Source organism: Homo sapiens, chromosome 14 (genome assembly GCF_000001405.40).
Source record: "Homo sapiens chromosome 14, GRCh38.p14 Primary Assembly".
Lineage (NCBI taxonomy): Eukaryota > Metazoa > Chordata > Mammalia > Primates > Hominidae > Homo > Homo sapiens.
In genome coordinates, this window is record NC_000014.9 from 93977425 (window position 1) to 94002462 (window position 25038).

Sequence of the window (25038 nt, forward strand, 5' to 3'; positions counted from 1 at the left end):
AAACATGACTTGGTCTGTTCCTCTAAGGGGAGAATCATTTTTGTTTCAGTGGCCCATTCCCCTTGGAGGATGTGGATTTATGATGGCCACAGCATGATTTCTCACTGATTCAAACTCAGGAAACCTCAGGATGCCTTTACACGCACTTCGAATATTCCACAAGGAAATACATCTCAGTATACAAGGTGCCACGGGGTTGAGTCAAGGTTCTGGAGGTCTGACTGGTGCTAAAGATGGGAAGGACACCAGTGGTCCCCAGGCAGTCCCCCAGCTTCCCTGGTACCTGCCAAATTGCTCATCACCCCAGCTGGGTCAGTCTTCCCAGGCCACTGTGGCTGGGTGGCCCTCAAAGTTAGCTCAAGTTCAGCCCCTTCCAGACCCATGTGCTATGGAGGGAGTGTAGGAGAAGGGCAGAGAAGGGGCTGTCAGATTCTTTTTACTTTTTGGAGACTCTGCTACCCAGTAGGATGTTCCCCGAGAGACGTCTCTGTGGGACGGCTCCCCGAGGCCGGGCTGCTTTCCTGGGCTCCTTGCTGGAGGCAAAACACAGGTTCCTCTACTTCCTGCCCACCACCTGCCCCTTCCCAATCTGACCTGGAAGGTGGGCTGTGGCCAGGCCAGGCCCCTCCTAGGTTGCCCTCTGCCTCATGGGCATGCACACATGCACACACACACACACACATACACACCCCAAACTCCATCCAAGATGTGTCTATTCCTTCCCTCCCCTTGAATATGGGGTGGCCTAGTGATGGACTTAACAATAGAATGCAGTGGAAATGATGTCCTGAGACTTCCAAGGCTAGGTCATGAGATGCTTTGTAGCTGCCATGTTGTGAGGAAGTCCAAGCAAGCAACACCCAGGGCCCCCAGAGCATCTAGCACCAGGCAGAGGGGTGAAGACACCCTCTCGGAGGTGGATCCTTCACCTGCAGCTGCCACAGCTAATGCCACGTGGAGCAGAGACAAACCACCCACAACTTCCTGACCCATAAACCACAAGCTATGATAAAAGGATTGTTTCGTGCCACTGGGGATTGAGGTAGTTTGATATGTAGTAATAATCAACCCAGACACTCACCAAATATTCACTGCGGTCTCAGCTGCATGCTCCTCAGCTCTCGTGTGCTACCCGTGAACTTTTTTCTGACTTTCCACTTGTCTTTGTTTCCATTTAAAAGAAGAAAAACAGATTCAAACTAAATTTTTTTTTACCTCACTCTTTACAAAAGAATGTAGTCCCAAGTCATTTCCCAGTTCTTGGGTTTATCAGACCAGAAGCTCCTTTTGGCTGAGATTCTGTCTTACAGGGGAATTGTGGTCCCTCTAACTGGAGGGACTCTTGGCTATCCTGGTGTTCAGAGCCCTCATTTACTAGTTCAGGCCCCAAGAGGTTCTGTGCCTTCTCTGAGATCACCTGGCAATTTGGGGGCAGAATAATTCACACATTGAAAGCCATGCCAGTGGGAACCATGCCCCATGGGATCAGACGCTGATGTCCTAAAGCACAGACACTCTCCTGACAAAGGCAGGGACAGCGTTCAAGCATCTGACTCGAGCCTGTGGAGGGCAGGCAGTGTGACCCAGAGGAAAGAGAACTGTGCTGGGATCTGGCCCTAGCTGCTCATTAGAATCATATTACACTTACCTATGCCTGCCCCACCCCAGAGATTCTGATTTAAATAATCTGTGTCGAGGCCCAAACAGGACTGATTTTTAAAAACTTTTTATTAAAGTTCAGTATACCCACAAAAAAGTGCAACTTTCACATATGTACAGCCCAGTACATTTTCACAGACTGGACACACCCAACATCTGAATATTACAAGCACCTCAAGAGCTCCCACCACCCACCACCTCCTGCCAGGGGTGACCACTCTCCTGACTGCTAGCAGGACAGGTTCCTTTGAACTTCATGTGAATGAAATCATTGCGTCTCGTTTCATTTAACAACACATTGCGAGACCTGCCCATATTGTTTCATGGAGTTGTAGATTGTTATTTTAATTGCTGTGTAGTATTCCATGCTATGAATATATCACAATTTATTCATTCTACTGTTGATGGACATCTGGGTGGTTCCCAGTTTTGGGCGATGATGAAGAGTGTAGCTATGAACATTCTAGTACATGTCTTTTGGTAAATATTCATACTCCTTTCTCTTGGGTATACACCTAGGATGGGGATCACTGGGTCAGAGTTTAGGTCTTCTTTCAACTTGAGTGAAACTGTCACATGGCTTTCCAAAGTTGTGTCAGTTTGCACTCCCATCAACCAGGCATAAGAGTTCCAGTCACTCTATATCCTTACCAACAATTGGTAGATTCCATCTTTTTTCTTTTTTTTTTTGAGATGGAGTCCTGCTCTGTTGCCCAGGCTGAAGCGCAGTGGTGAGATCTCGACTCACTGCAACCTCCACCTTCTGGATTCAAGCGATTCTCTTGCCTCGGCCTCCCAAGTAGCTAGGATTACAGGTGCCCACCACCACGCCCAGCTATTTTTTTTGTATTTTTAGTAGAGATGGGGTTTCACCATGTTGGCCAGGCTGGTATCGAACTCCTGACCTCAGGTGATCTGCCCGCTTCAGCCTCCCAAAGTGCTGGGATTACAGACGCGAGCCACCGCACCCAGCCTCCATCTTTTTTCATATTATCTATTTTGATGGGCATCCGTGGCATCTTGTTGCAGTTTTAATCTGCACACCCCTGATGACAAATTACGGTGAGCATTTGAGCAGCCCTGGCCTCAGTGATCTCTGGAGCCTTTCCGGGGTCCCTAACTTTGCACAAGGCCCACCAGCTACCCTGGGAACAGCCCTCCAGGGAGGGTTTTTGTGGGGAAACAAAGGGAATAGAAGGGGAATAAAAATGCAGAGGCAGAAACTATGCAACTGATCAACCTGCAAGGGAGTGGGAAGAAGAATGTGGCCACCACAGGAAAGCCCCAGGACTCACACCTGGAACCAAGGTGGGTTTCACTCTCCCAAGCCTAACTAGAACCTGCCCTCCCTTACTCTACCCCCTCACCTGGCATTATCCTCCCTGCTGACCTATTCTATATTTATCTCCCATATGTGCATTGCCTGTTTCTTCCATCTAGAATACTTTGTCCTTCTGTTCACTGCTGTGTGTCGGTGTCTATAGCAGTGCCTGGCACATAAGAGATGCCCATTCCATAACTGTTGGACATGTGTGCCCACACTCAAGCCCACAGTCCCTGAGGCAGAATTGGGAAGGGCCTTGGTTCTGCCTGCCAACCCGAGCCTGGCCGGTGGCTACAAAGACACACACACACTTTAGGTCTCTCCCTTCCAGACATCCCTCTCTGTTTATGTCAGCCTGAATGCCCAGGAATAAAGGGGTGCATGTATGTATTGGAGAGGCCATTTGCAGGGCCCTATACCTAGTCGGGTCTAGGGGGAACCAAGACCAGCACATGTTTCTGTGACAGTGACACCTCTTCCAGAAGGAGGGAAGGAGAGTGGAGGAGGAAGAGCCAGCCAAGAGCCCCCGGGAGCTGAGCTGTGAGTCAACGCCAAGTCCTGGGCGGACTCCAGCCCAGCAATGGAACATCATCCGCTAAAATAAGCACCCCTGCGATCCTGGCGTCCTGGCTCCCAGCCCTGGCTGCCTCTTGCTGTCAGTTTATTTTGGTTTCAAGTAACCAAGCTGAAGATGGACAGACAAGAGTCTGATCCTCACCCTGGGCGGTGTTCTGAAGGGGGATGGGCAGAGGGCAGACTGCAGGGCATGGGGGAGGCCAGACAAAGGCCCCAAGTCCTGGGAGGGAGGAAGGAGCATCCATGGAAGGGGAGGAGAGGATCCAGGGAAAGAGTGAGACGTCCTCTCTTCCTTCTTCAAAATGGGCCTTTGCTCTGGAGCAATCAGGAACCAGCTCCCAGCTTACCTGCCAGCTCAGAGGGCCAAGCCAGGTCCCAGGGAGAGAAGACAGTGTTCCCCATTTATCGAGAGCAGAGCAAGGGCAGAAGCCACATGCCTCGGATGGGAGAGAAGGGGCAGGGCAGCCTTCCAGCCTATGGCACTCTACCTGTAGGGGGACACCCACTAAGGTGAGGATCCATTATCCAGCAATGTCCCCTAGGGACCGGTGAAGGGCTGCCCGCAGTTGGCTCAGGGTGGCAATGGAGGCCTCCCCTCCTGTGTCTCCTGCTGTGCCCAGGCCCCACTAGGCCTAACCCTGGCCCTGTTCTCTCCAACACCCACATGCATGTAGTGGGGGCACCAGTGGGATCTCATAAGCGTGTCACCCAAGTTAGCAGTTCTGAGGAGCAAAGTCCATTGCGGGACACTGGGCTGTTTGCAGCTGGCTGGGGGTTTCCTTCAGGCAAGAGTAGCTAAGAGAGAAGAGTGGGACAAAAAGAATGGGCAGAGCTATGACCTCAGCCTTCCTTGCAAGCCCCTGCTGTAAACCCCAACCCCTCATACAAATCTCCAGCCATCCTTGACTGGTAAGCTGCCTGATTTAGCCACTATCCCTTGACTGGTAAGCTGTCTGATTTAGCCACTATCCCTTGACTGGTAAGCTGCCTGATTTAGCCACTATCCCTTGACTGGTAAGCTGTCTGATTTAGCCACTGTGCCTGCCCATTCCAGCCCTTAGTAAGGACCTCTCCACAGCAGAAGCCCTGGCCTGTGAAGCCCAGGACTGTCTCTCATGAATACCTTGCCCCTGGTGGGAGTGCCTACTTGGTCCTGGGCTTCCCGCTTGGGAGTGCGCTTGGTAAGCCCGGTGCAGATGGTGTCTTCCTTGTTGAAGATGCCACCCATGTGCAATCCAAGTTAGCACCGCCCCATCTAGTTTCTAGTCCAGGCACTGGAGTCAGATGATCCCAGTCCATTCCTTGAATGCTGTGGGCCCCCAGCTATAGCCCTGCAACTCTCTGGATTCAGCTTCCTCTTCTGAAACTGGGGGAGTGATGACTCTCTCCCACGGTTGTTAGGGGGATTAAATGAGATCCCAGGACTCCGTAGGAGATACCCACTAATCATACCTCTTCCTCCCCACCTGCTGTCTTCAGGCCTTAAGCTGCACTTTCCTGGAGGCCACTGGCTCTATTGTCTAGCCAAGTCACTTGGCCCCTCCAGGGCTCAATCTCATCCTGTCTGAATCACCCTTGGGAACTCAGGGACAAAATTAAACCCTGAGTGGCCCACAGGCCCAAGTTAGCTGCTGGGAACAGGTTTTCCATGAGCTGGAGCTCTCTGGTGCCCTTTGGCTGGGGGGAAAGGCCTCTCCCACACCAGTCTAGAGTGCAGCAGCCCAGCCTCCTTCGCCAGGGATGCGCTGTGGCTGGGTCGGACCCTACATGTCCTGCTGGATGCAACAGCTCCGGGCCATGTGGGCAGAGCTGAGGTCAGACCAGTCTCCTCCAGCACTAACTGTGATTGGCAGTTGGGAAGGAGGGTGCCTCGTGGACACAGTCCCTGGCTCAGCCATTCTACAGCCTGAGCTCGCAGGGAGCAAAACGATTCACCTGCTCCAGACAGGCAGCTGTTACCCATTTGGCACCTGTAGTGGTGGGGGGTGCCTCCAGCTGGAGGGTAACTGCTCTGAGCTTCACTTTTCACCCTAGGCCTTGCTCCCCAGGTGTACTAGTCTATTCTCATGCTTCTATGAAGGAATACCCAAGACTGGGTAATTTATAAAGGAAAGAGGTTTAATTGACTCACAGTTCCGCATGGCTGGGGAGACCTCAGGAAACTTACAATCATGATGGAAAGTAAAGGGGAAGCAAAGACCCTCTTCACATGATGGCAGGAGAGAGAATGAGTGCCCAGCGAAGAAAGAAGCCCTTTATAAAACAATCAGATCTCGTGAGAACTAGCTCACTATCATGAGAACAGGACAGAGGAAACCGCTCCATGATTGAATTATCTCCACCCCGTCCCTCCCATGACATGTGGGGATTATGGGAACTACAATTCAAGATGAGAGTTGGGTGGGGACACAGCCAAACCATATCACCAGGGAATCCCAAGTGACTAGTGATGAGCATCGCAGAGGTGTCAGCCAGACCCTTGGTGAGGAAGGCCGGCATTCTGGGTGGGAGTCAGGGCTGAGATGCAGGGTTGGCTCAAGGGTCCTGATGACCTGAGGCTGGGCCATCTCTCCTTTTCCGTGCAGGTAGAAAGGGATGGGGCAGGCAACGCCCATTTACCAGCCCTCTCCTGGGATCTGGGCACTCGCACGGCCATCCTGCGAGGGAGGCTTTATCATCCTGATGTTACGGATGAGGAGCTGAGACCCTCATGGGACTTGCCCGAACTCGGTGATGGTGGGATCTCCATCCACACAGCCTCCGTCCACACAGCCTCGGTCCTGCAGAGGACTGAAAGATCAGAACAGCCAGGAATGTCAGACCTGGGAGCTCCTTGCAGTTCATGTTCCAACATCCTTTTCCTGAGGAAAGGGGAAGCGAATCTGGAGAATAAGAGGGGCTTGTCAGGCCTTTGTAGGAGCCATGACTTCCAGAAACCCACGGAGTGCTTTTCCATAGCTTCCTCCCATGATAATCTCATCATGCCATAGACCTTAAACCCAGGTTGTGGGGCACATTGGCAGGAACCTCACCACACTGGAGAAGGATGAGCCCAGACAGCAGGCTGGACTTTCTCATGGGCACATTCAAGATGCCTGCTACCCCCCGGAGACTCCCAGAAGTGCCTAGGGGTGAGGAGGTTGTGGTTTGCAATGGATCACAAGCCCCAGCAAGGATCCAGGGGCTTCAAGCCCAGGCATCTCGGGTGTCAGTGTCATTGTGCCTCATTGTTCCCAACCACAGGAGGTCAGGCTGGGGGCCACTCCCAGCACAGACTTGCTGGTAATGTGACTGCCCCAGATCCCTCTTCAGAACCCAGTGGCTAAGAGCCTAGAGTCTGAAGTCATCTGCCAGCTCAACCACTTGCTAGCTGTGTGACCGTAGAAAGTCTATTTAACTCTCTGCCTTGGCTTCCTGATATACATTGCAGGGAGGAGGAGAATAATATTATCCATAGCTCACAGGAAGTTTGCAAAGATTAAATTATATGACGTAGTACCCCAAGCATTCTGTGTATATATATGTGTGTGTATATATATGTATACACTCATATATATACAATTGCGTATATATTAATACAATATATACATAAGATATGTTATCATATATAATTTATATATAGTATTCATATATTTATATATCCGTATATGTATGTTCATATTCATATATGTATATATCCCTTAGAATAAAGACTTATAAATGTTAGAGGTTGTTATTAGCTTAAACTTCCTGACAGAGACAGAGGGGATGGTGGTTGGCTGGAGACAGTGGTTCTTCATTGGGGACAATTCCTGAAGACATTTTGGGTTGCCACAACTTGGGGGAAAGGGGAGGATGCTCTTGGCATCTAGTGGGCAGAGGCCAGGGGTGCTGCCAAACATCCTACAATGCACCAGGCAGGACCCATGCCTGCCCGCCCCCCGCCCCATGGAATTAGGGCCCAAATGTCCACAGTGCCATGGGGAGGAAGCCTGGCTGAAGAGCAGGGGCAGTGGAAAGTGGCTCTTAGGGAGTAGAACGGGGCATGGGCCAAGCTGACAAAGGAGTAGGTTTGGATTTCGGGAATAGCTGCCACCAGGAGAACTGAGTGGATTTCCACCGCCTTGTGACTGTTATATAATGGGATGATTCACTGAATGGGGCTCGTAAACCCGCTCTGAAGGCCACCAGCAGGGGGACACGTGGCTGTGGTTTGAGCAGCACAGAAAGAACAGCCATAGTGACCATGTGCAGGTTGGGGTCCTCCTTTAAGCAGGAAAGGGGAGCCCTAGGCAGGTCTCAGCCCTGCTTGTAGCTGGTGCATTCAGACACACACACACACACACACACACACACACACACAGATGGTGCTTAGCTGACAGCACACCACACACGCATAGTTTACATTCTTTAAGTGAAGAGGTGGATTTAACCCACCAGTTAGTATGACAGTGGACAAATGAACTAGTCTTTTTTTGAGACAGACTCTTGCTCTGTTGCCCAAGCTGGAGTGCAGTGGTGCGATCTTGGCTCAATGCAACCTCTGCCTCCCAGGTTCAAGCGATTCTCCTGCCTCAGCCTCCTGAGTATCTGGGATTACAGGCATCTGCCACCACACCCAGCTAATTTTTGTATTTTTAGTAGAGACGGGATTTCACCATCTTGGCCAGGCTGGTCTCAAACACCTGACCTCAGGTAATCTGCCTGCCTTAGCCTCCCCCAGAGTCCTGAGATTACAGGCATGAGCCACCGCACCCAGCCGAACTAGTCTTCTAAAAATAGTGAGTACCTACCTGTTGAAGTCTCCTGTTTTCTACAAATACAACACTCCATCTCTTTCTTGGAGCACATGTGTGCAGGTGTGTGTGTGGTTGCCCCAGTGTACACGTATGAGCACATGTGAGATGTGTAAACTAACAACTCTACAGGCATGTGAGGCACCTCACATGTTGGAAAGGACTTGAGCCTAACCACCAGTGTGCTGCTCTTCACCCTTCTGGAAAGTTCTGACCCTATGCAAACCTTTCCCCTCTCCAGAGCCCTGAGAAATTGAGGAAGGGAGTGGACTGTGGAGCTCTTAGGAATACAGGCCCTTCCACACTCTGAGTGCCTCTGAAACCAGATGAGCAACTGAAAGTTGCTGCATCCACCAATCTTTTTTCTCTGAGAATAAAAATTCTAATCATAAGTCAGTTGGAATTTAAATCAAGCATACCTAAATATTTTCAAAAACAGAAATAAAAGATGGGATAATTATTTTGGAAGAGTTTGTGAATCCTGGGATGCAACCTCCTGTTCCACATCATTTCAAAATAATTGGTTGTTGGATAAAATTCAGCCTCTGGGCATGGTGGCTCACGCCTAATCCCAGCACTTTGGGAGGCCGAGGCAGGAGGAGTTTGAGACCAGCCTGAGCAACCTGGTGAAACTCCATCTCTACAAAAAGCATACAAAAATTAGCCAGGCATGGTGGCATGCACCTGTAGTCCCAGCTACTCAGGAGGCTGAAGTGGGAGGATCACTTGAACCCAGGAGGCAGAGGTTGCAGTGAGCTGAAATTGTGCCACTGCACCCCAGCCTGGGTGACAAAGTGAGACCCTGTCTCAAAAAAAAAAAAAAAAAAAAGAATTCATTTAACAAACATGTTTGCTGCCAACCTTTGTGCAGACAGGTACTCTCATACACACTCGTGCACATGCATGGTCTTGTACGCACCTGGTAAGGTGACCTTCCAGGAAGCTCAGGGCCCCCTGATATGAGCTGACACTGGGTGAGGAAGGTGAGGGCATGAAAAGAAAGGGCGTTTGATATTGATATTTCTCGTGGTCCAAAGTGGCCATCTCCCCTTCACAGCTAAAAGATGGAAGCACAGAGACTTGAAAATATGTTTCTAGGTTCAGTCCGTTAATGCAGTGTCCAGATTTCTTTCTGTCTTTCCTTGCCCTTTCTCCCTTACTTCCCACTTTTCCTGGTGCCACTGAAGCCAGCCACATCCCCTCCAAACTGCACTGTCATAGCTCCTGGCCTGGCCCCTGAAGAGCGTGTGACCTGGGCAGTCACATCGACAGCCAGGGCTGTGCCCTGAGGGTGGATACACTGCAGCCCACAGGGCACTGCCAGCCCCGGGCTCTTGGGACGAGTGCTGACTGGATGCTAGTGCAGGGCCTGCCCGTGGCCCTCCTGGTGTTCCAGCTGGCCTCTCTGTCTTTGCCCTGCCCTCAGGGCCTCTGGGTTTATATTTCACAGCACTGCCTGGCCCAGTGGGATCAAATGTCTGCCGTGCCACACGTCCCAGGAAAGGACTGCAGAGGCCTTCAGATGATCTCCACGCTGCAGTACCCAGAGGTCTGGTTTCTGACCCAGGTGCCTGTCCAACCCAAGGGCTGCCGTGCATTGCCTTTTGGGAAAGCCTGGCCTGGAGAGAATCAAAGCAGGTGACTGCATTTTGCCAGATCTTCTTGGTAGGGCCTCTGCGGCCTGTGTGGTCAGCCCCAGACGACTTGCGCAGCCTCCTCTTCCTCGTGGCTCTGCCTCTGCCCCACCGTCTGTCCATCTGTGTCTGGCCTGTTGAACCCTTTTGGGCTTGGAATGCCCTCTCCCTTGGGCCGTCTGGGCCCTGGGAGTGGCTGGCGTGGGGTTGGTGTGGGCACTGGGCCAGCAGCCTGGCTCCCTTCCTCTTCCCTCCACTCTCTGGAGGCGGGCAGCCCCAGGTCCTCACCTGTGACGCAGGAGTCAGGACTGCAGCAGCTTCCTAACGGGCGGGAGTGAGGCTTCAAAGAGGTAACACTCCAGCAAGTCCGTGACAGGGGCTGCAGGAGACGAGTGCCCAGAAAGTGGAACTATTATTATTTTTATCCTCAAGGCACAAATTAAATGCCATGAGCCCTGCTAAGTGCCAGAAGCAGTGTCAGCTCCTGGAATATAGACTTCCTACCCACAGGAGGTACAGCCTCAGGGAGGACAGCGCGGGAGGGAGGTGGGAAGGAGGGAGTGGGGGAGGGGAGGGGCCAGGGAGAAACAGTAGGGAGGTGGGGCATCTGGAAGGAGGAGTGAGAGGAGGGGTGAGGCCAGAGAGGAGAAGAGGGGTGGGGCCGGAGAGGAGAGGAGGGGATGAAAGGAGGGGATGGGAGGAAGGGGGTGGAAGGAGGGGTGAAGGTCAGGGAGGAAAAGTGAGTGGTAGGGGAGTCTAGAAGGAGGAGTTGGAGGAGGGGTGGGGCCAGAGAGGAGGGAATGGGAGGAGGGTATGGGAGAGGGGATGAGAGAGGGGATAAGAGAGGGGATGAGAGAGGGGATGGAAGGAGGGGATGGGAGGAAAGGATGGAGGAGGGGATGGGAGGAGGAAATGGGAGGAAGGATGGAAGGAGGGGAAGGGAGGAGCAGATGGGAGGAGGGAGAGGAGGGCATGGGAGAGAGGACAAGAGAGGGGATGAGAGAGGGGATGGGAAGAGTAGATGGGAGGAGCAGATGGGAGGAGAGGATGGGAGGAGGAGATGGGAGGAGGGGATGGGAGACAAGATGGGAGGAGGGGATTGGATAGGGGATGGGAGGAGGGGATGGGAGACGGGGTGGGAGAGGAGATGGGAGAGGGGATGGGAGGAGGGGATGGGAGAGGGGGTGGGAGGAGGGGATAGGAGAGGATGGGAGAGGGAATCGGAGGAGGGGTTGAGAGAGGGGATGGGAGGAGGGGATGGGTGGAGGGGATAGGACGAGGGGATAGGAGGAGGGGTTGGGAGAGGGGCGGAAGGAGGGGATGGGAGAGGGGATAGGAGAGGGGTTGGGAGAGGGGTGGAAGGAGGGGTTGGGAGAGGGAATGGGAGAAGGGGATGGGAGGAGAGCATGGGAGAAGGGATGGGAGGAAGGGATGGGAGAGGGCATGGGAGGAGGGGATGGGAGGAGGGGATGGAAGGAGGAGATGGGACGAGGGGATGGGAGACGGGATGGGAGCAGGGATTGGAGGAGGGAATGGGAGGAGGGGATGGGAGAGAGGATGGGAGACAGCAACAGCAGAGCCTTAAACCAAGCACTTCTGAGTGCGGGACGCTGTGTGCCTGCAGATCCATGAGATCCTGATACAAAGAGATTGTGTAAACTGCAATGTTTGGGGTCCATGCGAGAGATGGTGAGAGAGGGCAGGGGAGTCTCAATGAACACATGGGTAAATAGCACCCACCTTATGTAAAGTCAGGCCTCATCCTCCAGCCAGAGTTACTGAGATGCTTGACAGCTGCCGCAGACCCTAGGGAGTTAGATTGGCTATCCTCAAAATGGCCAGCCATCCCTTTAACGCTGTCCCAGACACCTGGCTCCCAGGTCAGAGGCATTGCAGCCCAGGACCCAGGATAAGAAGCACAGACTGTATGAAAATTTCGGGCTGCTCTGTGATGCAGTGACATCCAGCACTGGGTTGGATGTCAGAACACACCACTTGCCTCAGTTGTCCAGTCCCATGCCTCTCCCTAGAGCAGATGCTGCTCAGAGCGTGGTGCTCCTATACATGCAGGAGCCATCAGTGGCCCTGGCATGCTCAGTGGGGCACATGGATGGCCTTTCTCCTCCACACCCTTCCTAGGAAGCCATCAGGATTTCATCCAGATGCAATGATTCTCCTGGCTTTGGGATACTTAGAATTGAAAGAGGTCAAATAATAGCCTTCAAACTCACATTGACCTTGTTCCTCATGCCCACCTGGGTCCCCAGGGCCCCCAAGATCAAAACCCAAGATCAAGACTCATTCTTAGTGAGTCTTGTAGGTCTTAGAGGGTCTTTGCTGAACCAGCCCCGATGTGCTGTAGGTTAGAAGCCTGGGAGGGCTCCACTGGGTTCTTTTCTTTGGGTCCCATTAGGCTGAAGTCAAGGTCGGGCCTCTTATCTGGAGGCCCTGGGGAAGAATCTACATTCAAACTTACTCAGGTGGTTGGCAGTGTTCAGTTCCTTGCAGCCGCAGGCCTGAGATCCCTGTTTCCTTTCTGACTGCTGGTCGGGCCTGTTCTTAGCTCCTAGTGGCTTCTCTGGTCTTTGCCCTATGACCCCTGCCATCTCAGCAATGAGAACCTCTGTTCTCTATTCCCATTGAATCCCTCTCACCCATTCAATCTCTTACTTCCTCTTCTACCAGCCACAGAGAAAATGCTCTGCTTTAAAGGGCTTGTGTAATCAGTTAGACCCGTGGGTAATCTTCCTAGTTCAAGGTCAATTGATTGGTAAACAACATCTGCAAAATCCCCATTGTCATGAAAGGTGACATGATCATAGATGTGACTGCTCACCACATTCACAGCCCCAGGGACTAAGGGGAATCCTGGGGGCTTCTTAGATCTGTTTCTTTCCTAGACCATCTCGAGTCTGTTTCCTTCTCGGCTTTCAGAGTACCACTCTCCTGGTCTTCCTCCTTCTTCACTTCACCTCCTACTTGACCTCGTTAGCCGTGTTCTCCTACCACCATTAAGAACATCAGGAATCCATAAAAAATGATAAGAAAGAGGGCTGGTCCAGGCCACCCAGGGATCTGGCAGAAGCCACCCCAGCCTGGAGTGGACTGAGCCACTCTCAGTTCCTGCTCCAGGCCAGCCTATTTTCCAGGAGCTGGGGACATCTCCTTCCAAGCCCAGTAGATGGAATGACTGCCCAAGGTCAGGTAGTCCCATGGGAGATTTTGGGAAGCTCCGATTCACCCTCTAGTGGACTGTGAGGGGGCAGCTCTGACAGATTGGGGTGCACATTGGGGTGGGTGAGCCAGAATTGGCCCTTTCTCCAGCTTGGCTGGAGAGCATTCAGGAGAGGCCTGGCCTTTGGGGCAGAAAAAGGCCACAGATGCTAGATCTGGGAGTGGTCCTGCACCAGGCATGATAATAGTGACAATAGTGATGTCTTTTGAGCACTTTCTTTGGGCTAGATGCTGAATGCTTTACGTATACCAGCTAATTTCATCTCCACAGCAACCCCAGGAGGTAGGTAATATTGCTAATCTCATTTCATGGAGGAAGAAACTGAGGCTAGGTGAGGGTGAGGGACTTGCCCAAGGCCAGGCAGCTCATGACTGATGAGAGCTGCCAAGGGGTGCCTGACCTGCCATTAGTGTTCTTTTCATGCTGAAGCACGACTCTATCAACCTTCATGCCAACATTAAGAAAGTGGTTTTAATAGGAAGAGACTTTCTGTGTGGGAAGTTGTTAAACTAGGACTGAGGCAGGGGACACCGGAAGAAACTTATTTGGATTCAATACAAGAAAGGGCAGATGTTCTAGTGGTCACAGTGACCCAGAGGTGGATGAGGAGGCTACCGTGGGAGGGGATGAGCTGCCCATCACTGAATATATGAAGTGAAGAGGCCATTCTCATTTACTGAGATCCTAGTATGACAGACACTGTGCTGAGTGCCTTACCTATGTCATCATTAGGCCCTCACAGCTCCATCACATAGGCAATGTTGTTGTCCCCCACTTACAGACGAGGACACAGAGGCTCAAAGAGATTGAGTGATTCATGATGGCTACACAGGTGGTTGGTGCGAGAATCGTGACTCAAACCCAAAGCCGTGCATCTCCGAAGCTCTGTCTGTATGCATACATCTATCGAGCGCCTGCTGTGGGTCCAGTACTATTCTTCTAGACACGGAGACTCCAGCAGGGACAATTCGGTCCCAGTCCTTGACCTCATGCAGATCACATTCCAGTGGGGAGGGAGAAAATCCACAGGAAGGAGTGCTAAAATAGAGCCACACAGGGGTGAGGTCATCAAGGGTAAGCTGCGGTTGCGGTACCTGAGATGGTCAGGGAAGGCCACTCTGAGGAGGAGCTGGGATCTGGAAGACCAGAGGGAAAGAGTGCTATGAAGAGCTTGGAGACTTGTGCTCCAGGCCGAGGGAACCACAGGTGCAAAGGCCCTGCGGCCAGGAAGGAGAACAGAAAAGCCACTGTGAGAGGAATAGGCAAGGAGGAGCCAGGGCATCTGGAGCCTCATCAGCCAGAATGTGAACTTCATCTGTCATGTTTTAAAGTGGTGGTGTGCTGTAGCCAGCTCAGACCAGCTCATAAGAGCCAGTGTTAAGTCTTCAGGCATTTTGCAAACAGGTTGTTAAATTGTGAGTAGCTTGAAATCAGCCATGGCGGGCGGATTGACACCACAGAAACTGATGAATGCCATACATCTTGGCTTTTCTCCCATTCACTGTTGACCTGAACATCACTGGTTTTGGCAGGGAAATGCGGAGATCTGGTTTTCGCTTTAAGACGAGCTCTCTCTGGCTGCCAGGTGGAGAGTGGCCCGCAGGGGACAGGAGCAGAAGGAACAGCAGGGAAGGCCAGTGCTTGCTCCAGGTGGGACCAACATGGGCCAGCGAAGAGAAGTGAAGAGATTCCAGAGACTTTGGAGGCAGAGCTCACAGCCTTGCCGGGCCAACCCCCACCAAGAGATTCATAGCAGGAGGTGACAAGGTGGCATGGAGGGGCATGACTTGAACCCAGGCCTGCAGGGTCCCTAAATTCATTCTGTGCCCCACACCTCAGTGATTCTTCCTAGGAAGGTGATGGTTCTGGGACAGAAGAAAACAGTTGATGATGCCCTGGCTGCCCCTCAGCCCTGGTTCCCTCTGGTCAGAGCAGCCCCTTCCCACACTGCCTCTTGGGAGGGCATCTCCTCTGAGCTATTCCAGGGAGGTGAGGGGTGGCAGGATGTCAGTGTCATAGACACCGGAAGGCCCAGAACTCCACTGTGGCCCCTCGGACCATGACCAGAGCCTCCATCCTCCACCACGGGAAGGCCCTGTCTTGGGAGAACTGAGCTGGAGACAGCCTTACAGTGTCCTAGGACCTGCTTGGGTGATTCCCCAGCTCTGGGACCTGGAGCTTTTCCTGGTGCAGAGCAAGGATGAGGGTAGGGGCACAGGGAAGTGGGTGCTGGGCCAGGCTGAGGGCCTCAGAGGAGGTGGGGCCCCAGCACAGCTTCCTGGGCCCAGGATGCCCTGGGTTTTCCTCTTGTGCTAGAAATGGAAGGAGGGGATAGAGGTAGACTGCTGAGATTCTGTCTCAACGGGGGAGGAGCTACGTCGTGCCAGGTCTTAGTAAAATTCTGGCCGAATCAATAGGCCAAGTTTGTCTCCCTTGCACCCTCTCACCTCTTCCCACCAGAGCCACCTTTGCCAGCCAACCCCAGCAACCTCTGCTGAAGCTCCTGTGCTCTTGCATTAGGGGATCAGCCCATTGTGATCCTCTGGAGGGGGAGAGAAGAGGTGGGCAGGAAACAAAACTAACGCCCATCGAATACCTACGACGGGTCAGCTCTGGGCTGCTTGCTTTCCTAAAGGGTCAGAACAGATACTCTCTTAAAGAGTTGTACCAGTTTAAAAGTTTCCGCTTTTCCCTGCCCCTAAGACATAAAATGTTCGTTCATATCTTTCTAGACTTTCTCCTATGCACACATGGGTTAACTCTACAAAAACGAGAAGATGCTAAGTGTTGTACGTGGACTATCTCGTTTAATCCCTGGGTGCTATTACCCACACTTTGCCTTTCAGGAAACTGAAACTCAGAGAGGTCAGTACTTTTCCTGAGGCCACACAGCTGGTAGCCCTGCCTCAACCCGCAGCCCCACTCTGCATCCTGAGCGTCAATGGCTGAGGAAGGGCCGGCCTTGGCCCTGTTTAGGGGCATTTGGGGCTGTAGAGCAGATGGGGTGAATTCTGCAGAAGGCCTGATCAGGCCCTTCCTTCTGCTGTGCCTGGTGACCCAAGCCTGGGGGCAGATTCCAGCCCCAGGAGTCCTTGTTAAGGTTTTTGAAAAGGGGTCCTATTGCCATTTAATTGCAGCTCTGTCCTTGTAGCAGGTTCCCAGCTCCCAAGATTCCCAGCTGCCTGTAACAGACAGACTTGCCTTGGATTTCTCTTGTCCAAGGCCCAGGGGGTAGAGGCTAGTCTGGGAGGTGAGAGACCTGCGCCCCTCACCGCTGTGGAACCTTGGCAGCTCCTGTCTCTCTGCCTTGATCATTTCTTTTCTTCTTAAGTTCCTTTCACCCTCCATGTAAGTGCTTGAGTCTTCCCCTAATTAGGGAAGGGTGGGGTCTGCTGGTTGAGTGAGGCTGGGGAAGGGGGAGGAAGAAGAGGAAGAGCCAGGGCGGTGAAGAGGGGTCTGAGGCAGGCCTGTGGGTTTTAAGGAGCAGGATGGAGAATAACTACATCTGGAATCCCTGGACCTGGGTCCACATCCCAGCGTGGGTCGTATGCAGTTATGCAGGATCTGTACTCGCAAGAGTCCACATTTGGCTTTATCTTCTGCTATTGCATCTTGAAGTTCTTAATAATTTTTGTGCAAGGAGCCCAGCATTTTCATTTTGTACTGAGCCCCACAAACTGTGTAGCCAGCCCTGTTACCTTGTATTAACTGTGTACCCTTGGGCAAGTTACTTCGCCTCATAGACTCAGTTTTCTCATCTGCAAAATGGAGCAGTGCTACCACCACCCTAGAGGACCGTTCTGAGAATGAAACGAGAGACTCCCAGTAAAGAGTCAGGCAGTGGCAAATCCGTGATAGGACTCAATCCCTGGTGCTTGTGACAGTCACTCTTTAGGGGCCTGGGTGGGAGAAACGGCTCCCAAGGAGCTGCAGCCTCTCCCAGCCTTGTCTGTGTGTTCTCTCAGTGCCTATGGGACACTTCAGGCCAAAAATGAAATTGTCACTGGAAAACAAATAGTGCCACCATCCCCACTCCAAACCTACCTGCCCACCCCCACCTATGGGGTCAAGTGGTTTACAGCCTTGAACTTCTAGGAAGAAAAGTCCTGGAATTTTTGAGCGTGGGAAGGGACGAGGGTCTGGCGAGCCTTCTCCAGCATCTGCTTCCGGCCAGAGGAGGGTCAGTGGTCTGACTGTCCCCAGTGAAGGTCCCATAACCAGAGGTGCTAATGGAGTCTTCCCCAAGAACAGCCTCCCGCTGTGGGACCCCCTATCCATCACTTTCAAGGTCCTAACCACTCAACCTCCCAGATGGTTCTGGATCTTGACTTTCTGGATTAATATCAAAACTATTTTGGGCAAGTTACTTAGCCTCTCTGGGCCTCAGCTTTGCCCTCTGTGAAATAACAGCTTTGACGTCGGTGTGTCATGAAGATGAATGAACCCCTGCATGGAAGTGCTTAGACCTGAGCCACACAGACATGAGTCACTCCCGCTGCCACGCTGCCAGCCTCACCGCCACTCTGAGCCAGACAGCATGCTCAGAAATGCTCTGACCATTTCTGAGTGGGCAGAGATGATGATGAAGCTGCCTCCTCCCTAAGCAGGCTGCTTTCTGAACCAGCTTCGGCTCTCACCCTGTGACTCCTTCCAGAACTTGTTGGAAGCCAGCACTTACTGAAAGTTCCCAGGCATCACGGTGGCCAGGAACTGAAGACTTGGGGGTGATGGGGTTGTACCAGTTATAGGGCTGCGAGGGAAACAAGGCCCCTACAGAATGGTACCCTGGACCTATCCGGAGCTGGGGATGCAGCCCAGTTGTCCCTGAGCCTCCTCAGCCTGTTGTCCCTGAGCCTCCATGGAGGAGCACCTGTGGGTTCTGTTGCTCAGCTGTCCCGATTCCTTGGGAACAGCGCCAGGGTTTGCACTGGGAAACTTCCGGGCCCCAATGCGGGCTCTTAGGATATGACTGTCAGTCAAGCCAAGGGGTGGGCACATGGCCCAGGCTCAGCCAATTGGGCACCCTCTCTTGATTCTTGAGAATGGAGAGGATGATGAAAAGGGGTTGGGAAGGATTCATTCTGGGGGCGCCTCCCTGAGTTCCTGCCGCATGGATCTCCAGGGCTGCCCTGAGCCCCTGTCCTCTCTGGATTTTCAGCTTTTCTTCTGATTCTGCACCTCCCTACAGCCTCCCATGCATCTCTCCTTGCCCAGAGTAGCCCGGACAGTCTCTGCTGCTGGCTGATACCCTTTGACTCCTGCCAACAGCTTCACCAGCCACGGTCCAAACCACTCCCACCCTGATCGCCCCCTTCTGCTTTGAAGGCGCTGCCTACGGTTTGCGCAGGATGTGCAAGCTGTTCCGTGCCTCCGAACCTTTGTCCCTGCCATTCCTTCTGCCAGAATGCCCTTCCCACCTTCTCCTTTCATTCTTATCCTCGTGAAACACCTCGGACACTGCTGACTCTGGGGGACTCCCCCACCCCTCCTTGAACTGGGCTGACTCCTTCTCTGGGCAACCCCAGCCCCTGAGCTCCTCTCCCTCTGCATCCACGTCCCCCACACCTGCATCCACCTCCCTCCTGAGTCTGAACCCAAGGCCAGAGCAAGGACCCTTCACCTTCATTCTCAGTCGGTGCTCAGCACATAAGCGAGGGGCTCTAGGACCATGGAGAGGCAGCCCTGGGCACCTGTCAGGGACTCCTGGGCTGGCTGGGGCTGATCTCACTGCCTGCTGGTAAGGGGTTGTGAGGGGGATGAGTCCAAACCCCTGCCCCTGCCCCTGAGCCCAGCCCCGACCCTGGCCCCAGCCCGAGCCTTTGATCCAGATCTTGCTCCAGCCGTGCCCCAACTCCAGCCACAGACCTGAACCCCCAGCCCTTGCTCTGCCCCTGCAGAGACCCCCGCCCTCCCTCATTCCTGGCCCCCACTCTGGCTCAGGCCCTGCCCTGGCTCCTGCCTCCTTCACCCTCTCTGGGGACCTTCCCCACCCACAACGTTCCTCCCAGTGGAGCCCACACTGAGCTGTGGCTTCCCAGGAGCCATCTGAGGTTGCCCAGCTCTGAGCCAATGGAAGCCTTTGAGGGGGAAGGCCAGGCCAGCCGGCAGGGTGGTGCGTGTGGTGGGGGTGGGGTGTCAGGGTGGGCAAGAGGCCCAGCCCTCCCCACCCCACCTTCCCCGGTGGCACAGGTCCAGTGGCTCCAACAGGAGGTTCACCGCCAAGCTGTAGGCAGGGGCAGTTCCCAGACATGGGTCCTTCAGCTTGCTCCCACCCCCTGCACGGAACCAGGCCTGGTCCTGAGCCATGGGTGGGGCTGAGCCTTGGGGGGGCTGATGGAGAAATGCCTGAGCTGCAGCCACCAAAATCAGGTGGGATGGGGTCAAGGGAGAGTCCCGGGACAGGTCAATTGGAACTGGGCAGCACATAAAGCAGACCAGCCTTGACAGAAAGGACAAAAATAGCCCAAGTCTCACATGGGGTTGCCAGTGCCCTTTCTCCCCATCTTCTTGGGAACGGGACTGGGAGTTGGGGGTGGGAGGTTTTAGGACCATGGAGAATCTGGCCCTCCACCCACAGGTGGATCCTGCAATGGACACATCATAAGGACAGAAGCCAGCATTGTGATGTCACAGCCTGGCTGTGGCTTTGTGCTCCTGGAGCTGTAGGTGAGTCAGCTAGGCCCCTTCCTCCTCCAGTGCCTGTCTACCTATGTTTGATGCTTGGGGCTAGAAAGACTGACCTTGTAGCCCCTCACCTTCTCTCCCCAATGCACTGGGCTGGTTCAGCAGCTGACCAATGAGGGTCATGCTTGCATACTGGCCTTGGGTGAGTGGCTCAGGAACAGTTTGCAAGACCGTGTTGAAGCTACTTGTAACTAGACCATTTTCCCAGCTTGACCATGAGCTTCTTCAAGGCATCTCTTCTCAGTCTCCACTGTAGCTCTGTAAGACCTGTATGAGCTCAGAGCATGTAATGTTGGTTAAGTGAATAAATGCATGGATGGGGGGTGGGTGGGCAGAGATGATGATGAAGCTGCCTCCTCCTTAAGCAGGCTGTTTTCTGAACCAACTCTGGCTCTGACCCTATGACTTCTTCCATCATTTATTTGAAGCCAGCACTTGTTGAAAGTTCCCAGGCATCTTGGTGGCCAGGAACTGAAGACTTGGGGGTGATGGGGCTGTACCAGTTATAGGGCCGCAAGTGAAACAAGGCCCCTGCAGAATGGCACCCTCAACCTCTCCAGAGCTGGGGATGCAGCCCGAAGACCTTGGACTTGGGATTTAATGAGCCCTGGGTCCTCATCCAGTCCTGCCAGATGACCTTAAGCTGCTCACAGCCCCTTTCTGAACCTCTGTCTCCTTTTCTGTGAGGTGGGGATGCTAACCCTGGCTTCCAAGGATCTGAAGAGGAAGCTGCGGCTGTGACTGTCCCTTTTCGGTCTGTCTTCATCCTGCCTGACTCACGGGTCTCCTGTCCTCCTGCATAGCTTGCGGTGGTGAGGTGATGGCAGCCATGGACACAGGCCAGAGAGCTGACCCAAGCAATCCTGGTGACAAGGAAGGGGACCTTCAAGGGCTGTGGCAGGAACTCTACCAGCTCCAGGCTAAGTATGTGTTGTCCCACCCCTGCCCCAGCCCCAGCCCCAGTGCTTCCCCAGTGGGCTAAGTGGCTGGACTTAGCAAACATGTCCCCGAGGAGGCCAGGACAGGGGGTGGATGAGGAGGGCAGTGTGGCTTGGAAGCAAATGGGCGGGGTGGGGCTGAGCAACAGCTGTGACGGGAGAGAGAAGAGGTGTGGCTATTGCCCTTTGGCCTGAGATCTTGGGCCAGTCCCGGGCCCTCTGCAGGCTGAGCCTCTACATCAGGAAGGAGGACTGTGGGTGACCATCCGTCTGCACCTGTCCACTCGGCCCCTCTAAGGCCAGTCTACGAGGTTGCCGCCTTGACTCTTAGTGGTGACCCTGGGTCCTCACCCCATGGGGATGGGAGGTTGGGGAGATAAGACATTTCAGGCTACCCACAAAAGCCTGAATTCGATGCAAAAGGATGTGTCTATGCAAAGTTTTATGAAGAAAAGAGCTGACCCAACAGATTCAGAGGCCTTCCTGATCCCAATACGGTTTAGCACTGTCACGGCTCACAGGGCCCCACGTGGTATCTGTGGGAAGGATGATGTTGTCCTGCACTTTTCAGAATCATACGGATGAGAGAGGGAGGGCCCAGAGAAGCAGAGGGGCTTGCCCTGGGCCACTCAGAAACCCCCAGCACAGCCCCTGTTGGACAGTCAGAGTGGCTTGGGAGCTTGGCCAGCTGGCCAGGCCAAGCCCCACTCTGGTCTCTGCCCTTGACTGCTGACCTTGGCTGGGTCCAGAGCAGGTGACCTGTTGGTGACTTGCTTAGGGATTCCCCAAAGAGTCAAGTATGGTCAGGCAATAGCACGTGGCCGCCTCCCCTCTGGGGGCTGGTGGGGCCCCCACCTCTGATGGAGTGCCCCCAAGGCACTGGGAGCCCCACGCATGACCCTGGCCAGCAGCTCACATCATCCCTGCTGTAGATGGGCAACCCGGGCACAGAGAGGTGAAGCAGCTGGCCCCACGTCACCAGCTAATAGGGGCCGGCCTGTCTCCTGAGATGGCAGCCACCTGCACAGCCTCCAGGGGAGGCACTGAAGACTCTGGCCAGAAAGGCTCAGCCTTCATTCTCCCCCAGATACCTTCTTTGCTGCCTGGGAGATGCTGCTATGGGCGTTTATTTGATCTGCTTGTGGCTCAGTTTGCTCAGCAGTGAAATGAAGGTGCAGAGACTCCTAAGTCTATGGCCAACTGATAAAGTGGTACGTGGCCGGCCCAGTGCACGTCCAAGCAGGAGATCACAGAGGGTGGTCCAGGTTCATTCACAGGGGGTCCTGCGTGACCTGGGAGCCTCCAGGCCATGTTCCTGCATCTGGCTCTACAGGCAGAAGAAGCTCAAGAGAGAAGTCGAGAAGCACAAGCTTTTTGAAGACTATCTGATTAAGGTCCTTGAGAAAATCCCCGAGGGTATGTACACAGCTTCCTCGGAAAGCCCTTTCTCTCCACAGCCACCTACTGGCTGCAGGACTGCGACACCGTGTGTGGCCTCATGGAGCCACGAGCTGCTCATCTACAGAATGGGAATCCACAAAGGCCAACCCCACAGTAGTGGGGAAGGGCTCAGGCAGCCGAGTCTGACTGCTTGGTCCCAACTCCAGCTCCACTGTCGCTAACAGTGTGGCCTCTGGCAAGTTCTCAAGGCCTTGATTTTCTTATCTGTACAATGGGAACAGCAATAATTATGTGGACTAGATGAAGTCATCCTTTATAAGCACAGCACAGGGCCCCACATTTAGCTAGTACCTGGTAAACGTTGGCCATTATTATTATTATTTTGTTTGTCTTTGGTTTTGTGTTTTTGTGTTGCTATTATTAACTAAGAGTATAAGGACATCTGAGATGAGGTTTTCTGTGTTGTTTTATGAGTACTGGAAACTCATTGGAAAAGGGAAGGGGAGTCACACATATTTATTGTTATCATTATTATTTCAACACCATCAATAATAATTATTACCATTTATTAAATATGTACCCTGTGCTAAGCTCTTTAGCAAATCTTTTTTACCCCTCCTATGAGCTTTGCACTACTGTGTCACTCAGGCTCAGAGAGGGTAACGAACTTGCCCAGGGTCACCCAGTCAGGAAGTGGTGGCACTGGGCTCAGACTCTGGTCCGTCTGACTTCATAGCCACTGTACTAAGTGCTAGAATGAGAGGAGCTATGGAAACTCCAAAAACTCTGCCTTGGAGATCAGGGAAGGCTTCCTGGAGGAGGCGACCTCTCATGGGGCTCAAATGGGTGCAGCAAAGGAGAATGACCCTCAGGCAGAGGGAGGGACACAAATGTAGGCAGGAGCCATAGGGCTGCGAGGTGGGTTTAGGGGTGGTGAGCTCCGGGCTGCTGGGCGATGTGGCTGGGAGGCTGGGGATATATACTGAGTACTGAGCCAAGGAGGAGTCAGGGCTGCAGGTCAAGCATGGGGCTTGCGGCAGACCCAGCACCCAGTGCTGCTTGTGGTTTGGGACCTTCCTAATTCAGCAATTCTGCCCTGTTCAACCCATCCAAAATGCATAACCACCAGGACTTGGCACTTGCTCGCTCAGGACAGGAACAATTCCTATCCCCCTCTCAGGCTGCTCCAAGCAGCAACATCTCCTTGAGGGCAGTCTCCCGCCTCGCTCGGTGGTCTTGATCCAGAATCCCTGTCTCAGTCTCTGGCTGAACTTTCCAAGGTTGAGGATTCCCTTGAAGTGGAGGGGGCGGGAGGGCGGGGGGGCGGGTGTGGATGGCAAGCCCGGGACCATCCTACTGTCTGGGGTCATCCTACTGTCATGGACTGTCTGGCACCTCTCAATTTTGTGGCCCCAGCTGGAATTCCTGGCCACCCTGTTGGCATGGCCCACTGCAGGGGCACCCACCCATCCCGCCATGGCGCTGTCTCCGTAGGCTGCACGGGATGGGAGGAGCCGGAGGAGGTGCTGGTGGAGGCCACGGTGAAGCACTACGGGAAGCTCTTCACAGCCAGCCAGGACACGCAGAAGCGCCTCGAGGCCTTCTGCCAGATGATCCAGGCTGTCCACCGGAGCCTGGAGTCTCTGGAGGAGGACCACAGGGCTCTCATGTTGGTAACAGCTGCTTGAAGTCTGCTCCATTCCCCGTGGCCCAGGGAGCTGGGGGCGTGGGGCCCCCTTTCCTGCATAGCCCTGGGGAAGGCCTAGAGGGAGCAGCGGCGTAATGCTGGGGGGCCCTCGGTGGGGCTGTCGCTCCTGAGCCGCCTTCCATATCCCCTTCCTCTCCCCTCTGCTGCCTGAGGCTCAGCTCGTGCCTAACGTTGTTCTGCGTGGTAGAAAAGCCATGTGTCCTGGATGCAGAGGGACTGGAGCTCGGCTCCCAGCTCAGCCACTGACTAGCTGTGTGACTAGTTTGTAGCCTCTCTGAGCCTCAGTTTCTGCATCTGTCAAGTGGGGGCAACACACCCTAGTTGCTAGCGTCCTTGCGAGGCACCAAACACAAACTGCCTCAAAGTAAGTGCCAGAGACATCATTTCCCTTCCCTTCCTTTGTAGTTATCGCATAATAAATAGGACTTCCGCTGGGAGGGATGGGCACTCCAGGTGGAAGAGCCTGCCCTGACAAAGGCGTGGCATCATGAAGATTCATGCTGCCACTGGGACCGGGGACTTCGGGATCCCAGAGGAAGGATGACCAGCCGGTTGGTTCACTGCAAAGGGTTGCTGCGTAGTTTTGGAGAGAGCATCTGCCCCCTAGTGGCAGCGCTGCAAGCCTGCACCACGTTGTACCATTTCTTTGGAGAATGGAATTCATGGATGGGCTGGGCACTGCGTGAAGCACTTTACATGCTTTATCTCACTTAAATATCACGCCAGCACCTCTAGGTAGGTGCTACTATTCCAAGGGCTGGGACTAGGGAAAGGCAAGTCCAGCCATGCTATTCTTCCCATTTTCGAGGGGAGGAAAGTAAGCCTCAGAGAAGCGGGGCCACGGGGGTATGTCCTGCGTCTGTCTTTCTCTCTCTCTTTCTTTCTTTCCCTCTCTCTCTCGCCCCCTCTCTCTCTTTCTTTCTTTCCTTCTTTCTTTCATTTTTTTGGGAGACAGGGTTTCACTCTGTCGCCCAGGCTGGAGTACAGTGGAGTGATCTCGGCTTACTGCAGCCTCCGCCTCCCAGGCTCCAGCGATTTTCCTGCCTCTGCCTTCCGAGTAGCTGGGATTACAGGCGTGTGCCACCACACCTGGCCTGTTCTGTA

The 25038-nt window shown here is 53.6% G+C and overlaps 1 protein-coding gene and 2 long non-coding RNA genes across 29 annotated transcripts in view; 1 reads left to right on the plus strand and 2 right to left on the minus strand.

The window, feature by feature from the left end:
• On the minus strand, positions 1-12642 carry LOC107984663 (uncharacterized). 2 transcript variants are annotated; one of them, XR_001750860.2, is made up of 5 exons: positions 12445-12642; positions 11709-11774; positions 10257-10347; positions 9254-9391; positions 5660-6349 (listed from the first exon to the last, which is right to left on the minus strand). It is a non-coding gene; the product is annotated as an uncharacterized LOC107984663 (long non-coding RNA). The 2 variants fall into 2 exon arrangements; XR_001750861.2 differs by lacking the exon at positions 9254-9391 and having other exon boundaries at positions 1-6349.
• Positions 9801-25038, plus strand: part of CCDC197 (coiled-coil domain containing 197) — a 24471-nt gene continuing 9233 nt past the window's right edge. For 3 of the 24 annotated variants that reach the window (XM_047431183.1, XM_047431192.1, XM_047431190.1), the window contains exons 1-5: positions 19877-20147; positions 20575-20811; positions 22159-22241; positions 23407-23506; positions 23721-23895. In XM_047431183.1, coding sequence (XP_047287139.1) covers positions 20708-20811; positions 22159-22241; positions 23407-23506; positions 23721-23895 — 462 coding nt within the window. In that variant the 5' untranslated portion in view covers positions 19877-20147; positions 20575-20707. The other 21 variants (XM_047431194.1, NR_024182.1, NM_001411045.1 and 18 more) reach the window with 21 other exon arrangements.
• LOC124903368 (uncharacterized) lies at positions 14151-19766 on the minus strand. 3 transcript variants are annotated; one of them, XR_007064315.1, is made up of 3 exons: positions 19678-19766; positions 18824-18937; positions 14151-14241 (listed from the first exon to the last, which is right to left on the minus strand). It is a non-coding gene; the product is annotated as an uncharacterized LOC124903368 (long non-coding RNA). The 3 variants fall into 3 exon arrangements; XR_007064314.1 differs by having other exon boundaries at positions 18824-18934; positions 19678-19756; XR_007064316.1 differs by lacking the exon at positions 14151-14241 and adding an exon at positions 16882-17363 and having other exon boundaries at positions 18824-18934; positions 19678-19756.